The sequence below is a fragment of the Homo sapiens genome, chromosome 11, assembly GCF_000001405.40.
Source record: "Homo sapiens chromosome 11, GRCh38.p14 Primary Assembly".
In the NCBI taxonomy this organism is placed as follows: domain Eukaryota; kingdom Metazoa; phylum Chordata; class Mammalia; order Primates; family Hominidae; genus Homo; species Homo sapiens.
The window spans coordinates 13,755,375-13,777,155 of record NC_000011.10 but is presented as its reverse complement, the minus strand read 5'-3'; the positions used below and the strand labels follow the sequence as shown (position 1 = coordinate 13,777,155).

The window sequence follows — 21,781 nt, the reverse complement described above, 5'->3', positions numbered from 1 at the left end:
GCTACGACATGGATGAAATTTGAAAAAAAAAACCATGCTAAGAAGCCAATCACATATATTATACAATTTCATTTCTATGAAAGATCCAGAATAGGCAAATCCATACAGACAGAAAGTAGGTTCTTGGTTGCTCAGAGTTGGGCACCATTGGGCAGAATGGAGAGTGACTGAGAATAGGTATGGTGGCTCTTTTGGGGGTAACGAAGTTGTTCTAAAGTTGTGGCAATGATTGCAGAACTCTGAATATACCAAAAGTATTGAACTGTATACTTTACATGAGAAATTGTATATGAATTATATCTCAATCAAGTCATTTTCCTATTTAAAAAAGAGATATGTTGGTAACAAATAGGAAACCATCAGAATAAGAAGACACTAGGATTCTTTCATTTGAAAAATATACTGGGTCAGGGGTGGGGTGCCAGGCCCCAGGCAGGGAGACAGAGTGATAGAGAAGTGGGTCAGATGCTGCACCTGCCCTCAGGCTGGTCACAGTCCTGCTGGAGCACAAGAGGAGTTCAGGCAACTGCGAGATCAGTCTTTAGGGAGCACAAGGTCTTAGGAGCTCCTGGGAGGCATGTAAGGTTACCTTCTGGGAGTGAAACTGGATAATAGATGTACGTAGGAGAGCAGAGGAATGCAAAATCTCCAGGAGCAAAATGGGTCCCTGATCCTAGGGTTCAGCAGGAGCTCATGTCAATGTATGGTTGCACCTAAAGCTGTGGTTCCCTACACTGATGAATTTACCATCTGGGGGAAATTTCAAAATGTCTGAAGACAATTTTCATTGTCACAGCTCAAGGGGTGGGGTGCTACTGGCATCTAGTGGGTAGAGGCTAGTGATGCTGCTCTACATTCTACAGTGCGAAGGACAGCTCACCAACAACAAAGTATTATCTGGTCCAAAATGTCAACAGTGCTGAGGATCAGAAACCCTGATCTAAAGCAAGTAAACATTGATCAGCAGGGAACAATTAGGTGTCCCACAGATAAGTTTAGAAAAGGGAGAGTCACAGAAGCCAACTTCAGAATTGTGTGCCCAGAAAAGATATGTTGAAGTCCTAACCCCCAGTACTTCTGAATGTGACCTTATTTGGAAATAGTCATTGCAGATATACTTAAGATGAAGTCATACTGGAGGAAGGTGGGCTCCAACCCAATATGATTGGTGTCCTTGTAAAAATAATGCCTTGTGAAGAACTATGCAGACAGGGAGAATACCATGTAAACATGAAGGCAGACATCAGGGTAATGTGTCTAAAAGCCAAAGATTGCCAGCAAACCACCAGAAGCTAAGAGAGGGGCATGGAACAGGTTCTCCCTCACAGCCCTAAGAAGGAACCAGCCCCTGGGACACCTTGATCTAGGTCTTTAGCATTCAAAACTGTTAGGCAATAAACTGCTGCTGCTGTTTAAGCCACCCAGTTTTTTACATTGTTATGGCAGCCCTAGAAACTAATACATCTGATACACTGTTTATGGGAGGTGACGCATTGGCCAATGGACTTTGCCCATCCTGGGTGCCCTGGGCATAAGCATCATTCAGTCCTTGTGCTTTCCTTGGTTCTGTCTCCAGGCTTACCAAGTTATGATTCTCATCACCTACTCACACCAGGGTAAGAATGTTCTGACTGTTCAGCATAAGTGTACCAGTCCTAATACCTCTCAGGGCCTGAGCTTTCCAGAACATTTTTTTTTCAACTTTTATTTTAGATCCAGGGCGTACATGTACAGTTTTGTTACCTGGGCATATTGCATGATGCTGAGGTTTGGGGTACAAATGATTTCATCACCCAGGTACTAGGCATAGTACCCAGTAGTTTATTTTTCAACCCTTGCTTGTCTCCCGCAGTAGTCCCCAGTTTCTATTGCTGCCATTTTTTACTTCCATGATTACCCAATGGTTAGCTTCTACCTAAAAATGAGAATGTGCAGTGTTTGGTTTTCTGTTCTTGTGTTAATTCGCTTAGGATAATGGCCTCCAGCTGCCTCCATGTTGCTACAAAGACATGATTTAATTCTTTTTAATGATTGCATAGTATTCCATGGGGTATATGTACCACATTTTCTTTATCCAATCCACCACTGATGGGCACCTAGGTTGATTCCATGTCTTTGCTATTGTGAATAGTGCTGCAATGAACATGCAAGTGCATATGTCTTTTCAGCAGAATAATTTGTTTTCTTTTGGGTGTATATCCAGTAATGGGATTGCTGAGTCAAATGGTAGTTCCGTTTTAAGTTCAAAGAGAAATCTTCAAGCTGCTTTTCATAGTGGGGGAACTAGTTTACATTCCTATCAACAGTGTATAAGCATTCTCATTTCTCTATAGCCTTGCCAACATCTGTTGTATTTTGACTTTTTAATAATAACCATTCTGACTGGTGTGAGATGGTATCTCACTATGGTTTTGATTTGCATTTCTCTAATATTAGTGAGGTGGAGAATTTTTTCATATGTTTTTTGGCTAATTGTATGTCTTTTGAGAAGTGTTCATGTCTTTTGCCCATTTTAAAAATAAGATTATTGGTTTTTTGTTTTTGTTGTTGTTGTTGTTGTTGTTTTCTTGTTGAGTTGTTTAAGTTCCTTATAGATCTTGGATATTGGATTTTTGTCAGATGCATAGTTTGCAAATATTTTCTCCCATTCTGTAGGTTGTCTCTTTACTCTGCTGATAGTTTCTTTTGCTGTGCAGAATCTCTTTGGTTTAACTAGAGGTAAATGTTTGTTTTTGTTGTAATTGCTTTTGAAGACTTTGTCATAAATTCTTTCCCAAAGCTGATGTCCAGAATAATGTTTTCTTCTAAGATTCTAATATTTATGTCTTACATCTAAATCTTTAATCCATCTTGAGTTAATTTTTGCTTATGGTAAGCGATAGGGGTCCAGTTTCATTCTTCTGCATATGATTAGCCAGTTATCCCAGCACCATTTATTGAATAGGGAGTCCTTTCCCTATTGCTTATTTTTGTTGACATGGTCAAAGATCAGGTGGCTGTATTTCTGGGATCTATATTCTGTTCCATTGATCTATGTGTCTGCTTTTGTATCAGTACCATGCTGTTTTGGTTACTGTAGCCTTAAAGTATAGTTTGAGGTTGGGCAACCTAATGCCTCTGGCTTTGCTCTTTTTGCTTAGGATTGCTTTGGCTATTCTTTCCTGAACATTGACAAGAGAGAAGAATTTCTGTCCTCTGAACAGAGAACTAGATAGAGCTGGCCTTACCTTAAACCAATGATTTCCAGAGTGTACACAGCAACAGATAAGAAAGACCTTTGATGGAGTGAAGGAGGGAACTATTAGACATTATTTATTTATTTATTTATCTAATTTATTTAAAATTAGAAATAAATTAAGGTCTAATAATTTTTAATGTATGGATTGACAATAGGACCTGTAAATTATGAATAAACATTCACATATTGTGGGTGCCTGCTCCAGAACAATTTTGGTAATGATGATCAGTGGTCACTGCCTTAGCATGGCCTCAGATAATAGCACTGCCATTTCTCTGATCTACTCTTGCTTGAAATTGATTCATAAAAGACCTTGAGTGTCAGGCTAAGGGGTCTGGCCTTTATTCCATGGCTTCGAAAGCCCTCAGAAGGTTTTAAGTACAGCATAGTAATTAATGGTGTGGGTTCTACAACCAGATGAATAATTTATTAGCTCTAATATTTACTACCTCTCTGACCTTGGGCATGTAATTTAGCCCTTTTAAGCCTCTGTTACCTCATCTGTAAAACAGGATAATAAAAGTAACCACCTCCTGATGTTGCTATAAAGATTAAAAAAGAGAACACATTCAGAGCACCTCCTGTGGAGCTTGGCATGCCGTGAGCCATCAATAAGTGTTTGCTATAATTCTATTTTAGGATTCCACTCTCTTGGCCCCGACATCTCCATGTAAGATTCAGACCTCAAGCCACCGCATTCTAGAACTAGCTCTTCAAATACAGGTGGAAACTGCTAAAACGCAGTATTTGAAGATGTAAATTCTTTGGTTTTTAAGACCTCCTCCCTCATTACTCAGTTCTGGGCATAGTGGCTTTATAAGGGGCTCAGATAACCTGCTAAGGCACATCTGGAAGGTGTAAGCTGATATATTTGGCATTTGTCTCCAAGATTTAAATCCAGGTCTACCACACTCCAGTGTACCAACCTGTCTTTATTCTATTATGGTAAGCTCTAAAACTGGTTCCTCCTCAAATGACTTTTTCAACTTCAAAATATTATTACTTCCTCGTTTAACATCACAGCATTGGGGCTGCACCTGTCCCCACCACTAATCAGCATTAATTGAATTTTTAAATCCAAATTAAAAATGACAGGTGGTGCTATTATGTTCTTAGCCACTCAACTTCTAGCTGGTTTTAAAATTGCATTCTTCTCCCCCTCAGAAAATCCAAATCATTTTCTCAGTTTAAGAAGGAAGTATTTGCAGGTGCTGAATTTGTCCTTGTAGCGCTAATGCTGAGTGATCCTCTGCCAAATTACATTCAAGAGCGCCATCTCCTGTCCAAAGTTTAAAAGAAAATGAACAAATAAGCAGGTGCCTAAATAGTCTTGTGCCTTTAATCAGCTGCTTAACTAGTTAACCATGAAAATGAGCTTTTTAGGGCTAATGAGAGTTACCCAATTTGCAGACATTGGGTGTTTTTTTTTGTACCATGATTTTCCAGCTGCTTGCATCCCGCCTCCTTTACAGTGTGTAGCACCTGCTTATGCTGCCTTGTTGGTGTACATGGTGTTGCTTAAAGGCCCCTCCTGGATGCTGAGAGGCATGGCATGTGCTAGGTCTCCCAGGTTGAAAATCTGATTCAGGATTCCAGACAGGCTTCTGGGTTTAGCGTAGGACCTGGGAATCAGGTATGTGTTCTTTATATTTAAATATTAGACAAGAAAGTTATAAGAAGTCAGGTTGAACTTTATCGATACTCTATAAAAGCAAAGAAATGATTGAAAATCAAAGCAACCTGGTCCAGAGTCAGCACATCTATGGCTATCACTCTGCCTATAAAGAAAATGCAGGTACTTCTGCAGTAATCAAATATGTATATTTCTGATGGGAAAAGAGAAACATCCTTTCTATAAAATTGCAAACTAAAAATAATTAAGACTTGTAGGGAAAATAGGATTGAGGCAGACAATTCAAAACATATGCAGCTTTGCAACCAGAACATTAACAAAGGTAATAACATCTTAATTAAAATACCAGCACAGTTTAAAGAGTATGCTCACTCAGTGCTTAATAAATAAATTCTACATGAAATAAAGGACTTTGCCTTAAAAAAGAAGAAAGGCCAGGCATGGTGGCTCACGCCTGTAATCCTAGCACTTTGGAAAGCTGAGGCAGGCAGATCTCTTGAGGTCAGGAGTTCAAGACCAGCCTGGCCAACATGCTGAAACCCCATCTCTACTGAAAATACAAAAATTAGCCAGGCGTGGTGGTGCAAGCCTGTATCAGCTACTCTGGAGGCTGAGGCAGGAGAATCACTTGAACCCAGGAGGCGGAGGTTGCAGTGAGCTGAGATCGTGCCACTGCACTCCATCCTGGGTGACAGAGCGAGACTGTCTCAAAAAAGAAGAAAAAGAAAGAAAGGTTGGGTAATTTGATGAAAGGCAATATAAGAGAACTCATAGTCTTCTGAGTCATGAAAATAAGGAAAAAAACTGCACAGGATCAGGGAGAACTGAGCCCTGGGCACTCCTGAGCCAGAGATTATGGCTCGCCTAAGGTCAGAGAGACTTGAAGCAAATGAGAACTGTGGACCACACTGCTTCCCTTATCAGCCTGCTGCATTCAGCTGTTTGTGCCTTCCGCCTTTGTCTTCTGACATTTGCCTGTGCAAAATGCTGACTGGCTGGGAACATCATAGATGAACCAGTGTAATATCCCATTTTACTGACATTGTTCCACCATACATCAACCCCATTTGAGCTAATTTATGTTAAAATCACACACAAACACACAAGTGTTATAGCAAAACAGACTGAGCGTGGGATGCTTCTCCAGCATACATCTTAACACTAACCCCCGCTAAAAGGATGAATTCTATCAGCTCTGCTTCCCTTTCCGGCCTGTCTCCCTATGCCTCAATGTCAGGTTCACACATGTCCCTGTATGCCAGACAAATGGGGTCAATCATGGCTTTGGGCTCCAAGGCTCCTATGATGTCCAAGGTGCTGTGCTATACTAGTTAGCATGACAGTATGTATTTGACAAGGTTATTTTGGTTACAAGTGAGAGACTCCCAACTAAAACTGTCCTAAGAAAGGGAGAAAAGCTTGGTTAACCTAATAAAGAGTTCAGATGCGATGTGGCTTCAGGCTTAGCTGGAATCAGGGACGAAAATTTGGTCCTTGTGCCAATCTCCCTCTCCCACCTCCCCCTCCCCTATAATCTGCTTCCCTTGGTGGTGGGGGGTGTCACTCTTTTTCCCAAGCCCTCACCTACAGATGATACCTGGATTCTCCAGATTCATAATCCTCAGAACTAGTAACCCTAGAGGAAAATGGACTTTTCTTTCCCAATTTTTGCCAAAAAGACACAAAAACCAGGAACTGTCTCATTGACATTATTTGTTGTACACGTTCCCCAAACTTGACCCAGTCTACTGTGGTCCAACTGTGGTCTCTGATTGGCCAGGCCAGGGTGTAGGCTGACCCTTGGATTCAGGGATTGATTCAGCCCCACCCAAACCACATGTAGAAAGAGAGAGAGATGTCTTTCACCAAAAGGAAGACAGGTGCAGTGCCTGGAAAGGGGAACAGATCAGCTCAGACACCCATCACTCATTGTGGTCCAAGCCAGGCACCTGACAAGGAAATCTGGTTTCTGATGAATATGCTATCTGAAGGAGACTATTTATCTTGAACTTAAAAGAATAGTATCTCAACACACCATGAATTTATAAGCAGATTTACTATGGAAGTATAGAAATAATTATGTACTATCTAGCAGAGGTTTAAAGTCTTCAAGCTGACCTGGCCTTCTTGTGTGTTTTGTTTAGCTCAATAGTACCATTTTTTTTGTTTTTGTTTTTATTGTTAAAATTAGTTGCCAACATTTAGAATTCGCACATTTTAGGGCTTTCCTTAAACTGGAGCCACACTGGACTTGTTTTTCCACATGGCAGCAGTAGTTTGTGTGAAGTAACAGCTGCCCCTTTATTGAAGCAGCCTCTCCTGTCTGCAATAGTCCCCACTATGCCCTATGCCCCTCCAGCCTCCTTCACTCTTAGCTACCTGGAGGTGGAAGCATTTAAGTTTGCAATCTGCCCTGTGAGTTTAACTCTGGCCACACACCTTTTCGGTCGGCAGCTGGCAAGTGTTCTCTGATGAGGGAGGGCTGAGCCAGGTTCCTTCTGTCTTGCTCTGCTGTCCTAGTCTTATGATGTTTCTGGTGTGTCTGAAGCTGAGTCAATGGTCAGGTACTCTATTATCAAGACATGGAGGCCTTAGCTCCCCATCTTTAAAGTTAATTAACAGGTAATTTATTGAGATATGTATTCTAGCTTCCTCCCGCAGCTGTAGGCGAATAAAAAGGTGAAATTTCCCTCCCCCATTACTGGAAGAACAGTCAAACATTTGTGTCTTAGAGACCTAAGTGACCTTTGCCTTATGGGAGAATTAACAGGCTTTTGTTTTCAAAGGCCTAGCCACATAGAACCTATAGAGCTGGATTGTTCCCGAGTGGAAAGTATTCCAAGAGTTGACAAAGAGGGAAAACACTCAGAAAAGAATTACATTCTTTGAGACTTGAACAATAGGGGAGAGATGCTGGATTCATCAATGTCCATGACCTTTGCCTCACACAAAGTCCTCCAGTGGGGCAGGACTCATTATCTGTTAGGATTCTTTGTATTGCATGTGACAGAAAACACAGCCAAACAGGCTTAAGGAAGAAGAAAGACAAAAGGAGTTGGGTAATTTTTTGGTTTACATTACTGGAAAGTCGAAGAGTAACTAACCTTCAGGTATAGGTTGATCCAGTGATCCAAAAAGATACCATGAAAACGAATTCTATCCATCTTTCAACATTGTGTTTCCCTCTGTTGGTTTCATTGTCAGGAGCCATGAAATGGCCCCCAGCAGCTGTCTCAGACTCCACCCCGAAAAATCTAATTGGCTTCTCAGTAGAGTATATGTCAATTACTAAGCCAACCACTAAAGTCATAAGATACAATACTCTAACTGGCCAGTCACATGTGTCTTCCCTGAAATGGGGGGAATTGGAATACTACAACTGAGGACCAAGAGAGGACATGGATGCTGAGCAACTACTAGAGACTACAAATGAAACCACCTTTGCAAAAATTGTAATGGTGAGAAAATTACAGCAGTTAAAAAAGATCTGATATAACCCCCACCCCACCCATCCAGAACACACACACACAACTTGCCTTTCTCTTAATCATTCCTGGGCTTAGGCTAAGCTAACTTTGGGAGACATTTAGTTTATAGTTTAAATGATAATAGGCCCCAAAACTCAACTGCTCTTGTAAAGCTAATGAAAGGCCATCAGGCTAGGGGAAGGAGAGGAACCCAAATACTGCTGAAGCGTAGACTGGTCACAAGATACATCCTGTGGATAACATCACTATTGTAGATTGGCCTTTTGAGGAGATTTTCATGTTTTTTGCATGTCTGACATCCATGGCTCCACCTGGACCTTCTAACCCCACTCCTGTGGCCCCACCCAGAAGCAACTCAGCTCAAGAATACAGCTTCAACCCCCTTGATTTCATCTCCACCCTAATCAATCAGCAGCAAGCACCCATTACCTGGCCATTCCCACCCCTTCCCCCAGACAGCCTTTAAAAAACTACTGACCTAGGAGCCTTCAATGAGATTGATTAGTCTGTGTCTCCTGCATCACGTGGCTGGCCTCACGTCAGTTAAACTCTTTCTTTACTGCAATGCTCTAATCTTTATTTGTGCAGCAGGCAGGATGAACCCATCAGGCAGTTATACAAATAGATGGTTAAGGACACTGGGCACCAGGCTTAGGAATCTTGGCAAAGATCTGTATTCTTGGCTGCTGTAACAGGCATGGGCTCAACTGCTTCTGAATGGATCCAACAGGACACAGGCAAGTACTACCAAGGAGCTGTACCTACCTGTAAGGAGACTTCTTTTGGAAAGATCCATAAGCCCCTGGGGCTCTGCACAATCATTAGGTGGGAAGGCCATGCGTGGGTGCACAGGTGCAGACACACACAGGCACACACACAATGGCAGATCTGCTGTCTCACTAATGGTGGAAGATAAAGGGCCTAACCACATCTATTTGTTTTGGGATGTGACGTCTCTGCCACTTAAATAACCATAGCAGATTCATTTTCATCATAACAACTTTCTGCTTTCCTCTACTGTCTCTTTCCTGCAGCTTCTGAACAATTGTTGCTGTATTCCACTGTATTCTACACCCTCCCCTTTCATCTGCTCTAAGTCAACCCTCTCTCCACACTCTGTTATCAGGTGGTGCCACATTTCACTGGCCATAATCTATCTTTGTTCTGCCAGCATCAAAGCTGTGTACTCTAGGCCATCCTGGCTGCCACAATGTAATCCTGATCTACACAGAGGAAAGAGAGAGTTACCTCCCTTCAAAAAGCTTCTTTATTTATATTAGAAAGAATTGGCCCCCTGACCAACCAGAGATTTTTTTAAATAGTAAAAACATATACAAGGCAAGCCCAAAATGGCCAGGCACAGTGGTTCATGCCTGTAATCCCAGCACTTTGGGAGGATGAGGTGGGAGGATCACTTGAGCCCAGGAGTTTGAAACCAGTTTGAAAATCTAATTCAGATTTTCAGCCTGGGCAACAAAGTGAGATCTCATCTCTGTGAAAAATTTGAAAACTTAGCCAGGCATGGTAATGCACACCTGTGGTCCCAGCTACTTGGGAGGCTGAGGTAGGAGGATTGCGATTCCTTGGGGCCGGGATGTAGAGGGCTGCAGTGAGCTGTGATCATGCCACTGCACTCCAGCCTGGGAGATAGAGTGATACCCTATCAAAAAAAAAAAAAAAAAAAAAAGACAAGCCCTTTTTTTGTGGTGCTCACTGGTTTCCTCACTTAAGAACAGAATTTTTCAATCATTTTTACCCTCTGTCCTCTTTTGTTAAACATAAAAATCCCATATCTTCTTCTTCTAAGGTAAATTTAGTTTTATTTTTATTTTGAGATAGAGTCTCACTCTGTCACCCAGGGTGGAGTGCAATGGTGCAATCTCGGCTCACTGCAACCTCCACCTCCCAGGATCAAGCAATTCTTATGCCTTAGCCTCCCCAGTAGCTGAGACTACAGGCGCCTGCCATCACACTAGGCTAGTTTTTATATTTTTAGTAGAGCCAGGGTTTCACCATGTTAGCCAGGCTGGTCTCAAACTTCTGGACTCAAATGATCTGCTCACCTTGACCTTCTAAAGTGCCGGGATTACAGGCATGAACCACTGCGCCCAGCCTTCTAAGGTAATTTGAAATAGTCAAACTATTTTGGCTAAAAATTAAATCAAAGCAATGATACTTTTACATCATACCCACTCCCCAAAAAGATTCTGATGAAACCTCAGTGGATCAGCTCTATAGACAATTATTGCTTAGCCAGGATTAAAAAAAAAAAAAAAAACAAGGACTTCATATAGTCATATAATAATAGCACATAAAGATTTGTAGAATTCACTACCTTTTTTAGTCCTTTCTGCTCTTTATTAAATTTTGCTGAGAAATGTTAAATTTGAAAAGCAAAGTGGTGACAAAGATTCTTTGCTTGGCCAAACTTTAGTCAGGCTTCTGAATCTTCTCCTAGGCCTACCTGTGTACTTCATTGTAAAATCTCATTTTAGCAAAGAGCCCTGCTAAGTCAGTTTAGCAAGAACATCCCCGAATCATATCTAACACCTTGGATATCTGACCAGATTCCTCATCCTCCACTATCTCCCAGGTGATGTCTGATTACACTGGCCTATCTTCAGCAATAATCTTGTTAGATCGGTTTAGCCAGTTACATCAGAATCCTCCTTAGCCCCAATGTTTCTTCTTTTAGTAATTTTCCATCCACTGACCCCCAACCTGCTCCTTGGCTATAAATTCCCACTCCATGCTGTAATTGGAGTTGAGCCCAATCTGTCTTCCCCACTGCAGCAATTCCTGTACCTATGTCCTGAATAAAATCTTCCCTACCATGCTTTAATAAGAATCGTTGAATTTTTTCTTTAAGAGTGGACATTAACCAAACAAAAGCCTCAATCTTTTACAACTCAAGATATACACACATACATATAAACACATACACATATGTTACATGTATGTTTATATACATATACTTATGTGTGTGTGTATATATTTACAATTTATTCATGCAAGAGATATGTGTCAAGTGTCTACAATGTATCTGATACTGTTGAATCACACAAACAGCAAAATCAGACCCCAGTCCTGTCCTCATGGAGCACAGTGTCTAGCTGGGGAGACAGACATTAGTCTCACAAATGTGATAGAGCTGTTTGACTCCTGTTCCAACTCAAGGGAAATTACAAATTTGTTCTACTCAAGCCCCTGTTGACTGGGAAATAGTTCCCCTTCTCGCCCCCCTGCACCTGTCAAGGTACCAAACCCCCTGCCACCACGTCACATTCTGAGGGGTAACTGAGCATGCTGGGCAACAGAAAGGGGGCATGTCCACAGGGCCTGATGAGTTTTCCATCTGTCCCTGCCTTGTCTTCTCCCCAGGGCAGGACTTGGCCTCTTTTTAACTAATCTCTTGAAGAGAAAGAAAAAAAAAACACTCACTCTGCAAGTTTACACTGGAATATTCTGTCTTGTGCTTAGACTAGCAACATTTTCTTGCTTGCTTGCTTCCAGTTGAATATCTGCAGGCTTTTCTTCTACTTCCACAGTGGGGGATGTCTGTCTAGCTGCTCCAACCCAGCAGGGAAGAAGCCTTCCTGATCCAGTATAAAGGAAGTTACAGAGCACAGGGTGGGTGGGGTGGGGAAAAAACACTCAAGAATATTTGGAAATGTGATCAACAAACACAAGGGAGGCTGGCATGGTGTTTGAAACCTAACAGAGAGGGGGTGTTTACAGGGAACTAAGTGGAAGGGGCCCATCCTGAAGGCAAGGAGACCAGTAAGGAGATCACTAAGAGTAGATCAGAGAGGGAGAACACTGGTTAAGACTTGGATGGGGGCAGTGGCAATGTGGTGGATGGATCTGAGCTGCATTTTGTAAGTAACACTGATAGGACTTTCTGAGGGGTGAGGGAAAAGCAGGATGGAGAATAATTCCTAGATTTCCAGCGTGAGCAAGCTGGGTGGGTGGTGGTGCCATTTACTGAGATAAGGAATACACAGAGAGGACTGGATTTGGGAAGGGAGGGTTCTAAAGAGTCTTGACTTGAAGTAGCAAATTTCTCTATTTGATTTTTATCTTAATAGGGTCAGGAGTGGCTCTGCAGTAGCAGTATGTGCTGTTAGGGGAAAAGGCAAAGGCAGGCAAGGGTTTAAATCCTCTACCACCCACTACTTGTTTGACCATGAGCAATGTTAGTGACCTCTTGGTATAACAACTGCCTAATTTGCAGGGCTAAATGGAATATTGAAAGTGCACAGGATTCTTGGCTGGGTCTGTGGCTGCTCCTTAGCAAGTAAAATTAGCTAACACTGCCCAAGGATCCATTGGCTGGAGTTAAGAATCCTGAGAGTTAGTGAGAGTGTGGATGGGGTAGAGAGGCCCTTGGTGGGGCAAAGGGGACGATGAGAACCAAGGTGGGAAGAAGAAAAGGCTGATAGATCCCTGGTCTAGTTTGAGGGACTCATTTTGTGCCATCCCCAACCAGGGCTAGGGGTGGAGAGTTGGGGTAGGGTGTGCCAGAGGTGACGGGGAATAGAGGGGAATAGAGTTAGCTTGGCTGGGGAGTGGGGCAGAGGATGGGGAAGGTCGGGGCATGGAGTCAGAGGCTGAGGATACTCTGTTCACGAACGCATCTGTGCTGCTGCTTTAAGAGCCAGGTGACCCAGTGTGACTCAGAGTTGAGGAGAGGGTGTTCACACCACACCAGACCCCCACTGAAGGCTTAGGGGGCCACCAACAGAAGACAGACAGCTGCACCTGACAGAGCAGTACAATAAACCAAGGGCACCATCAGCAGGGACAGGATGGCTTCCAGGCAGCAGTGTGCAGGCAGGAGTGGAAAAGCATGAATGGACTCACACCTGAGCGCAGGTAGGCAGAAATAACTGGGGGTCACTATGAGAGCACCTGAAACTCCTCTGTGAGCAGGTGGGACTCATAGCTCTCATGATGTGAGATTCAATGTTAATTCAATCATATTTTATACTCTCAGGCTGAGGAAGCCAGGGGACTTGAAGTGACATAGGTAAGGCTAGCAAAGGCCAACAAATAGTAAGTGTGGCTTACGTGGCTTTCTGCCTCCTGCTTAACCCCCTTTATAATAAAAGGCCCTTCTGGTCCGGATTCTACTGTTTCGTATTTCAATAAGAACCCTCTTTACTTCACTTATTGGCATCATCTTGCACATAGTTCAGCTCCTCCATATTGTACTAACCATAAAATCAACATACATTCTCTGTTGCCTGGCAACATAAGAAAAAGCTGATATATGAGGCTAAGAGAATAAGCAGAGATAATGATATTTACTCATCCATTCAACAAATATTTAGCCTAATATGTGCTAGGCATTGTGTTGATTCCAAAAAAAATTGTATATTTATTTCAAAATAAACTTGATAGTACAACCAGTGCATCTACAAAATACATTTTTGTTTTTGTATTATAGTTTTTACCTCTTGTATGAGATTTTACTATAAGAAAAACTAGTATTTACTATGACATAAAACACACAAACACAACAAAACCTTAGCAACTGCTGGCTAAACAGCATAACGTGTAGCACGCTTTCCTGCTTTCATATGTCATTCACTTTTAAAAATCATAGTTGGACAAGCTGCCCCTCAAGTGGGTGATCACATGATTTGCATGCTGACATAAGCTAAGAGAAAGCAGTACCAAAAAAATCCTTGCCCTCCAAAGAGCTTATAACCTGATTGGAAAGGTAAGAGATATTCCTGAAATAACTACATTCCCCACAAAGAGACAGGCACTCAGTAGACTACCTTCATAGCCCCCTGTTACGGAATGAAGCCATGTGACACGTTTGGTGTCACTTTCAGGCCAAGCATTTAATTGTCTATTCAAGACCTTCCAGTGCTCTCTTTTCCTCTGGCGGCACAGCAATCAGCACCATTTGAATTGTGTCAGTGCTATCATTTTGGGTCCCTGGGTGTTTTCTGTGAGCAGAGCTCCCTCCTAATGCATGATAGATACATAGCAGCAATGAGAAAGAAACCTGTTTTTGTTTTAAGCCATTGAGTATCGGAGATTGTTTGCTATCACAGCATAACCTTGGTTATTCTGACTGAGAAACACTAACAGGGTGAAATGGCCAAATGTCTAGGGCACTTTAGAGAATAGAGGATCTTGAAGAACTGAGACCAGCAAACACAGGTATTTTTTTAAGGATGTTCCAGAAACTACAGGCTGCTAAGCTTGACTTTTGCTCTCTACAAGAATCTAGATGGAATAGGTAAAAAGAAAGGTCTGTGGGCCTGTAGAAAAGAAAGCAACAATTATAAGTAATCAGTGCAGTTCACCAAGGGCAATCACAGCCAACTAATTTTCATTTGCTTTCCAGACAGGTTTTATGGCAGGGTCTTGGCAGGTAACAGATGGCGTACTCAAATTAGGATGACATTAAAAGAAAGTTGTATAAAGGGACTATATACAAAGATGAACACGATGTACAAAAATTACAAGGAGTAGTACAGAATCCTGGGCTAGTAACAGTGGGGATGTTGCTACCTCTGAGCATGAAGGGGTGGGGGCATCCTGAACCCTGGAACTAGCAGCGTGTAAACAGAGGGACTAAATGCAGAGACACTTGCCCAGCCAGAAGTGACCCTGCATTAAGGGAATTTGGAGATATCCCAAATTCCAAACTCATCCTTCTCTTTCCTTCCAATCTCCTTTGTCTCCATTGACCAAACTCAACTGAAAATCCAACCAGAGGGCCAAAAAGCCATTGATGTAATCCATGCAGTCAGCTCCTGGGGCACAGAGCAGTGTGGACAGGGTGGAAAGCAGGTCTGCAGGGGCCAATAGAAAATTTCCAGCTGAAGACTGTTATGGAAATCAAATATTCTAAATGTATCTGGACGCAAGTGAGGTATTTGACAAGGAATGTCAGGAATTCCTTGAGGAAAAAGTGAAGAAATTCATGCCAGATACACATATCTGATTGAACAAAGCACATGCCATTGATGTGATATAAAGCTGCTATAGAAAGTAAAGTACCGACTTATAGAAATCAAAAATAAAATTTATTATTGTTTTTATTATTGTACTATAACTAAAAGGTGCTAAATAAGAAAGCAATATTGGTCACAGCCTCATTTGTGATCCAATGGCACATTGCATTCATTCCCTGGAGTAGGTGGTGGACAATGGAGTTTCACTACTTCAGCCTGCACCTCCATCTCACCTCTGGCAATAGCACCTTCATATTTTCCAGGGAACTTACCCCCAATCCTTGTGTTTCAGATGTGGTCAATTGCCATACCGCATCTTCTTCTGATCCCCAACTCCAAAGGGTGGACACTGGAATGAGTCAGGCCAACATTCCTGCAGCCACTAGCCAGAAATGTGTTATCTTGCCCATGGGTTACAGTATTGGAAAGATGCAAGTCTGGAGCAATGGACAGCCATCTTCCCCAGCTCAGCAGGAGAAGCCATTTATGATAAGAGAGTTCATGATCCTCACACGAAGAGAAGTAAGGAAAAAAATATCTATTGAAGAAAAATAATTCTAATAATATTGTCTGAGTTCCTGGATCAAACTTACTGATGTTAATCCCCTCTAAATTTCTCAGTTATATGAGCCACTCTATTAACTTTTTCACTTTTGCTAGCTTGAGTTAGATTTCTTTTGTTCACAACAGAGATGTCTAATTAATCTACCTGTATTATACCTCTTCCAATATTAACCTCATAGTGCCATTAAAATTTATTAAAATACATTTTAACCCAAATAAAGGCTAGAATAGTAATAACAGCAGCTACCATTGTTGAGTGCTCAGTAAATGTTCATGAGATAAATGATTGTCACCAAAGTAAATGAAAGCCTTGTCAAACAACAGGGTAAGGCCCAGCTGAGGCCACATAGTCTCGGATCCTTCTCTAGGAATTTCAGTGCTTGCCTGCCCCAGCCCTCATATAACATCTGCACTACTGGAGAAGCCACAGAAGGAAAGGAGGGCCGTGGTCAGTGTTGTCCCTTCCTTGCTCCATTGCTTTCCCCTTGCTCAAACTGTGATTTTAGGCCTTCTCTTGGGTCACATGCAGGGAGAAACAAGATTTGAAGAAAAGAGCAAGGCCTTCCATACATAATATTGTAATCCAGCTTTAGATCCCTGTAGGTAGCATATGCCAAAGTACTAGCTCTTTCTTTCATGGAATACTTTTCGTGGGTTTCTCAGAGACCCACTACCCGGGGCTCCCTTACTATACCATCCACAGCTGTGAGTGATGCAACTGCTCCCATCCTGAAGCCCCTGATCCTTTGATACGTTCCAGGAAGCTTCTCTGTAGTGGCATGAGGTCCCTGGGTTGGATCCCTCAAGCTGATTAATGTCCCATGGAGGGCATGGCCCTTGCCCGGCTATCAGCACAATCCACCTAATTCACTCTGTAGTCCTCTCTCCTTATTCTGACATCAGAGTCATCTCCAGCCAGGTTCACCTCTTGGATTCTCCAGGCATGAGTCAGGCATCAGCTTCTGTACTGTATAAACTCATGAAGCCTCCCTTACTTGTCTGAAATCGGAGGAAGGGCACTACCCTCCTCTCCTCTATGGGCAGGGGAAGGAAATCACACAGCACTCCAACAACTCTTCTCAAAGAAATCCTCACTCCCCAGCTCTCTTTCTCCAGCCCCTACTTTCTCTCACAAATGGTCAGAATGGTGGGATAAGGCTCATAATCATGTTGGAGATTTCCAGTTGGCAAGGCCTGCCTAGATGGCCAAATTCCTTTCTTTAGAACTGTACCATCCAATATGGCAGCCACTGGCTACATAAATATGGCTAATGAGCTTTCGAAGTATGGCTGATCCAAACTGGGATTGTACTAAGTGTAACAGACACAACAGCTTTCAAAGACTTTGTATAAATAAAATAATGTAAAATATCTTATTAATATTTTTTATATTCATTAGTTGTTGAAATAATATCTTTGACATATTGGAATAACAAAATATCTCAAAATTGATTTCATCTCTTTTTAAAATAAGATGTGGCTACTAGAAAATTTTAAACTACATACATGGCTTACATTATATTTCTATAGGCACTGCCTTGAAATGTATGGGCACTTGGCTTTAAGGCCTGGAAAAAACTCAAAAGTCTGTTATACGATATTTGTAAATCCCTTAGCCTGCTGCCTGGCACACATTAAGCATGCAATCGTTAGGATAAGGGAGAGACTGGAGGTGGAAGAAGAGGAGGAGAGGTTGTTGTTATTTTTGTGGTGGTAGATGATGTTGTTACTGGTATTATTCACCCGTTTACCCATCTGTAAAATAAGAATAATAATTGCTGTTCCACTGACTTCACAAGATTGAGGGTGGTTTGAGGGAAATCAAAGCTCTTTAAAGTGTAAATAGTTGCATAGACAGCGGTTGTCCCAGTACTAATAATCATGGTGGCCACTGTAACATCCTGGCTCCTGGCGGTAACTGGACCTTAGCTCAGCTGCTCTGGCTGGCTAGCCTGGGGCCCAGCAGCTTTTTCATTTGCATGAAAACCTGCACAATGGGTCTGCCGCCACGTGGCAGTGAAAGCCACGCTGGGGTCCCGCTAGGTCCCCTGAAGTGCAGTCCCACCTTGTTCAGGAAAACAAGTTAGTTCCCTGAGGACTCCCGGGTGAAGCACTTTTTGCTGCTAGACACTGTGCGGAATACAAAAAGACTTGTAAGGCACGGTCCAGCTCTTCAGGAGCTGCAGTGTGTTAAACAAAAATGATCCAGGCTGTTGTTTTGGACTGAGCTCCTGCACTAGGCCCAACAGACCAGACCAAATCAAAGTGGAGTCACTCGTAGTAAATGCCACATAATAAAACTGAAACTTTAAGGAAGCAACAGCTCCCAAAACAGACCTTTCTTTTTTTTTTTTTTTTTCCTGAAAACAGGAGATTCCAGTCTACCCAAATCAGCAAAATAAGAAAGTCCCCTCTGCTTTAATCCTTACAAAAAGGTAGCCTGAAGTAACCTGATGTAAACCGATCAGCTTTTCTCCTCTTTGATTCTGTTTCTTCATCCCCACCTCACAAAACCCACTCTTCTGCCATTGCCCAGTGGGAACTCTTATTCTATCTTGTTGAATGGAGGCTGCCCCAATTCAATCACGAATAAAAGCCAATTAGATCTATACATTTGTGGTAATGTTGTCTTTTGACAAGTGTAACAAAGGAAATTGACCCCCAAACAACCCATCCAATAGAGGAGATCGCAGCTAGATCAGAGGGAAGATGGCCACTGTGGGAGCCCTTGGGAGGCTGTGGGAACAGGAGGAACTCCCTGAGATGTGACACTTGAGCTGGAGTTTTATGAAGGACATCTTCACTTGGTTGAGAAGAGTAGAGGAGGTTACCGGAAGAGGAATAAGCAAGTGCAAAATACACATGGCCCATTTGGGAAAAGGTATGGGCATTTGGACATGAATGATGAGGGGGTTGAAGCAGATGAAATTAAGAGCAATGAAACCCAGAATCCTCATAAACCATCAACTAGTAAGGTGTCAACAGATGCTTCTGCTGACACTGACTGGGATAATGGCATTGAAGATGCTTATATTTTAGAAGCTACTGAAGATGTCGAATTAGCTGAAGCTGCAGAGAACAGTCTTCTCAGTTATAACAGTGAAATGGATGAAATTCCTGATAAACTAATCACGGAAGTACTATACAAGTACCTAATTCACTATGGACACTTATGTCACCAGGCTATAATTTGCCTGATGTCTGTGAGATTTGATAACAAATATATTGTCATTAAACCTGTTTACATAAACTAAGTTTTATCACTTTGTTTTCCAATTTTTGTTTTTTACTTCTATAAACCAGTTTTACCGAAAATTAGCTTTGGTGTACTTAAATTCAGTAGAAATCTCCTTCTTAATCAAAATTAGTTTATGTTCACATCAAGATAATTTTATGTTTATTAAAACTCTTGTATCTGGGGCTGATTAAGATATGATGTCAACAGTTTAAAATTTATTACTCAAGATATTAGCCAGAAAAGATGATCATGGCCTTTAAAACTATTTGAAAAACGGATGCCATTTAACATTGTTCACAGTCATTTAATTTGAATGACAAATATTAGGTTCTGATAACTAGGCCATACTTCTTTGCAAAAAAAATTATTTATAAAAGTATAGTTTCAGAAGGTAACAGTAGCATGAAACTAACATTTCTATAGGCACATTTTAGTAGGCTGCGCTTCTTCTTTCTGGTCAAGGAGCTTCTCTAATTGATGGTTGATATTTTGCAGGTGATTTTCAGCTCCCAAAATTGTTAAGATAACAGAGCTGGAAGGCTGGTTGAATTATACGTTTCCTTTATGTTTGCTTCTTTCTCCTGAACATCTGATAATCTTGATAAAGCCATTTTAAATTAGATAAGAAATATGCTGCATTCCTAAGGGAAGACTTTCTCTCCTTAAGTTTATCACATTTTGTTTGTAGTTGTTTCAGCTGTGGCTCTAATGGAAGCAGTTCATCCTAAACTTCAATCAAACGTTGCCTTTTCAATATCTGAAATCATCTTAGCATTCTTCCTTTTCAAGTTTTTCAACATCTGGACTTCTTTAAACTTTTTGATGGGTTCTTTTTAATGTTAAAATAAAATGTGTTGATGGCTTTCTTACAAATTTTAGATTCTATTCTTTGTTTATACTCTAGGAGGATTTTCTCAACTGTGGGCAAAACAATATTCAACTCCATGATGTTACTGGTTTTCTTATAGACACCAAATATGCACAATGTTGGAAGTATCTGAGTCAATGGCTTTACTTCTTGATTTCTTCCTTTTGTCATAAGACATCTTTCCTTTTTTCTGAGTTTTCAATTAAATTTCTGTTGCCAAGATCTCTTTATCAACAGAGGGCTGGGCACTAAGAGGTCCTATCTTTTTAGAAGTGATCAACTCAGCTGGTTTCTCTGAAAGTTCTGAAGATGCTGTAGTTGGAGGAATAGCCTCGTGTCATTGTGTACCCATTTTGTCTGCTGATTTAGCTTTTCTTCTTACATCACTTTCTTCAGTACTTTCCCAGTCATTATGAATGGGCTTGTGTTTTCTTCCTGGCTTTTTTTGCACTGTTTTTTTTTGTTGTTGTTGTTTTGTTGTTTTTTTTTTTGAGATGGAGTCATGCACCATTGCCTGGGCTGGAGTGCAATGGTGTGATCTCAGCTCACTGCAACGTCTGCCTCTTAGGTTCAAGCGATTCTCCTGCCTCAGTTTCCCAAGTAGCTGGGATTACAGAAGCCTACCATCATGCCTGGCTATTTTTTGTATTTTTAGTAGAGACGGGGTTTCACTATGTTGGCCAGGCTGGTCTTGAACTCCTGACCTCATGATCCACCCGCCTCAGCCTTGCAAAGTGCCGGGATTACAGGTGTGAGCCACTGTGCCCGGCCTTTTGCACTAATTTTTGCAGATTTGTTTTCACTTGCTTTATTTTCAGAAGTGTCTGAACTTCTTTTTGCTTTGTTTCCTGGGGGATTTGAAGAGATAGATAATCCACAATGTCAGGAGAATAATTCTTCATCAGCATATATAGCTGTGTTGTGTAAAGGAGGATGAAAGCCTTCCTAAGGTTCTTCATCTTTCTCATTTTCATCTAGACTGCCAATGCTTGAGATATCAGAATTATCAGGAAAATTGAACATATCAATAGACATGTACTTTTGAGCAGCTTTACTTTTCATGGAATGTGTTCTTTCTAAAGTGTTCTTTGAATATCTTGTACCCACAGGCCCGGGAGGCTGCACCCACCCACCAGTGGTTATTTTTCTTTTCACCTTCCTGGGTGAGGGCCAAATCACTTTCAGAGGGCTATTATCATGCATAAAGAAACAAGAGAGACTAATTGCTGTTGGGACTGACCCATGCAGTGCTCTGTGGCCTCCCCAGATCCCTTGGATGCAAGGCAAGGCAAGGAATCAACAGAATAGCCTTTTTATCTGTCTATCCATCCATCCATGTATCCATCCATGCATCCATCCATCCATCCATCCATCCATCCATCCATCCATCCATCCAACATCTGCAAGGTGCAGACACTGCTCCAGGTAGCAACAACAACAAAAGTATGAGAATAGTTCCAGTCCTCAAAGTTTGCGGTGCAGTTGTGGAAAGACTGAAAATAACAAACTCAATGTCCCCAGTCCTCATCAGCCTATGAATATAAACAGGAGTCCATTAATTCAAATAACCCCCTCAGAACCATTTAATTCCCAGCAATGTGTCTCTCAAATACTTCTTTTTTAAAACATTTTTTATTTCCATAGGTTATTGGGGAGCAGGTGGTGTTTGGTTACATGAGTAAGTTCTTTAGTGGTGATTTGTGAGATTTTGGTGCACCCATCACCCAAGCAGTATACACTGCCTCCTATTTGTAGTCTTTTATCCCTCACCCCCT

General features: G+C 41.7%; 1 pseudogene, besides 1 other annotated feature; it reads right to left on the bottom strand.

The window, feature by feature from the left end:
• Positions 14,753–15,952: an enhancer, noted in NCBI's record as "CDK7 strongly-dependent group 2 enhancer chr11:13782751-13783950 (GRCh37/hg19 assembly coordinates)". NCBI's record gives its function as "activates an origin of replication core promoter dependent on BRD2, BRD4, P300/CBP, MED14 and CDK7 cofactors, with strong dependence on CDK7, by STARR-seq in HCT116 cells {active_cell/tissue: HCT116}" and the evidence as "EXISTENCE:reporter gene assay evidence [ECO:0000049][PMID:35650434]".
• On the bottom strand, positions 19,392–21,136 carry CENPUP1 (centromere protein U pseudogene 1; annotated as a pseudogene).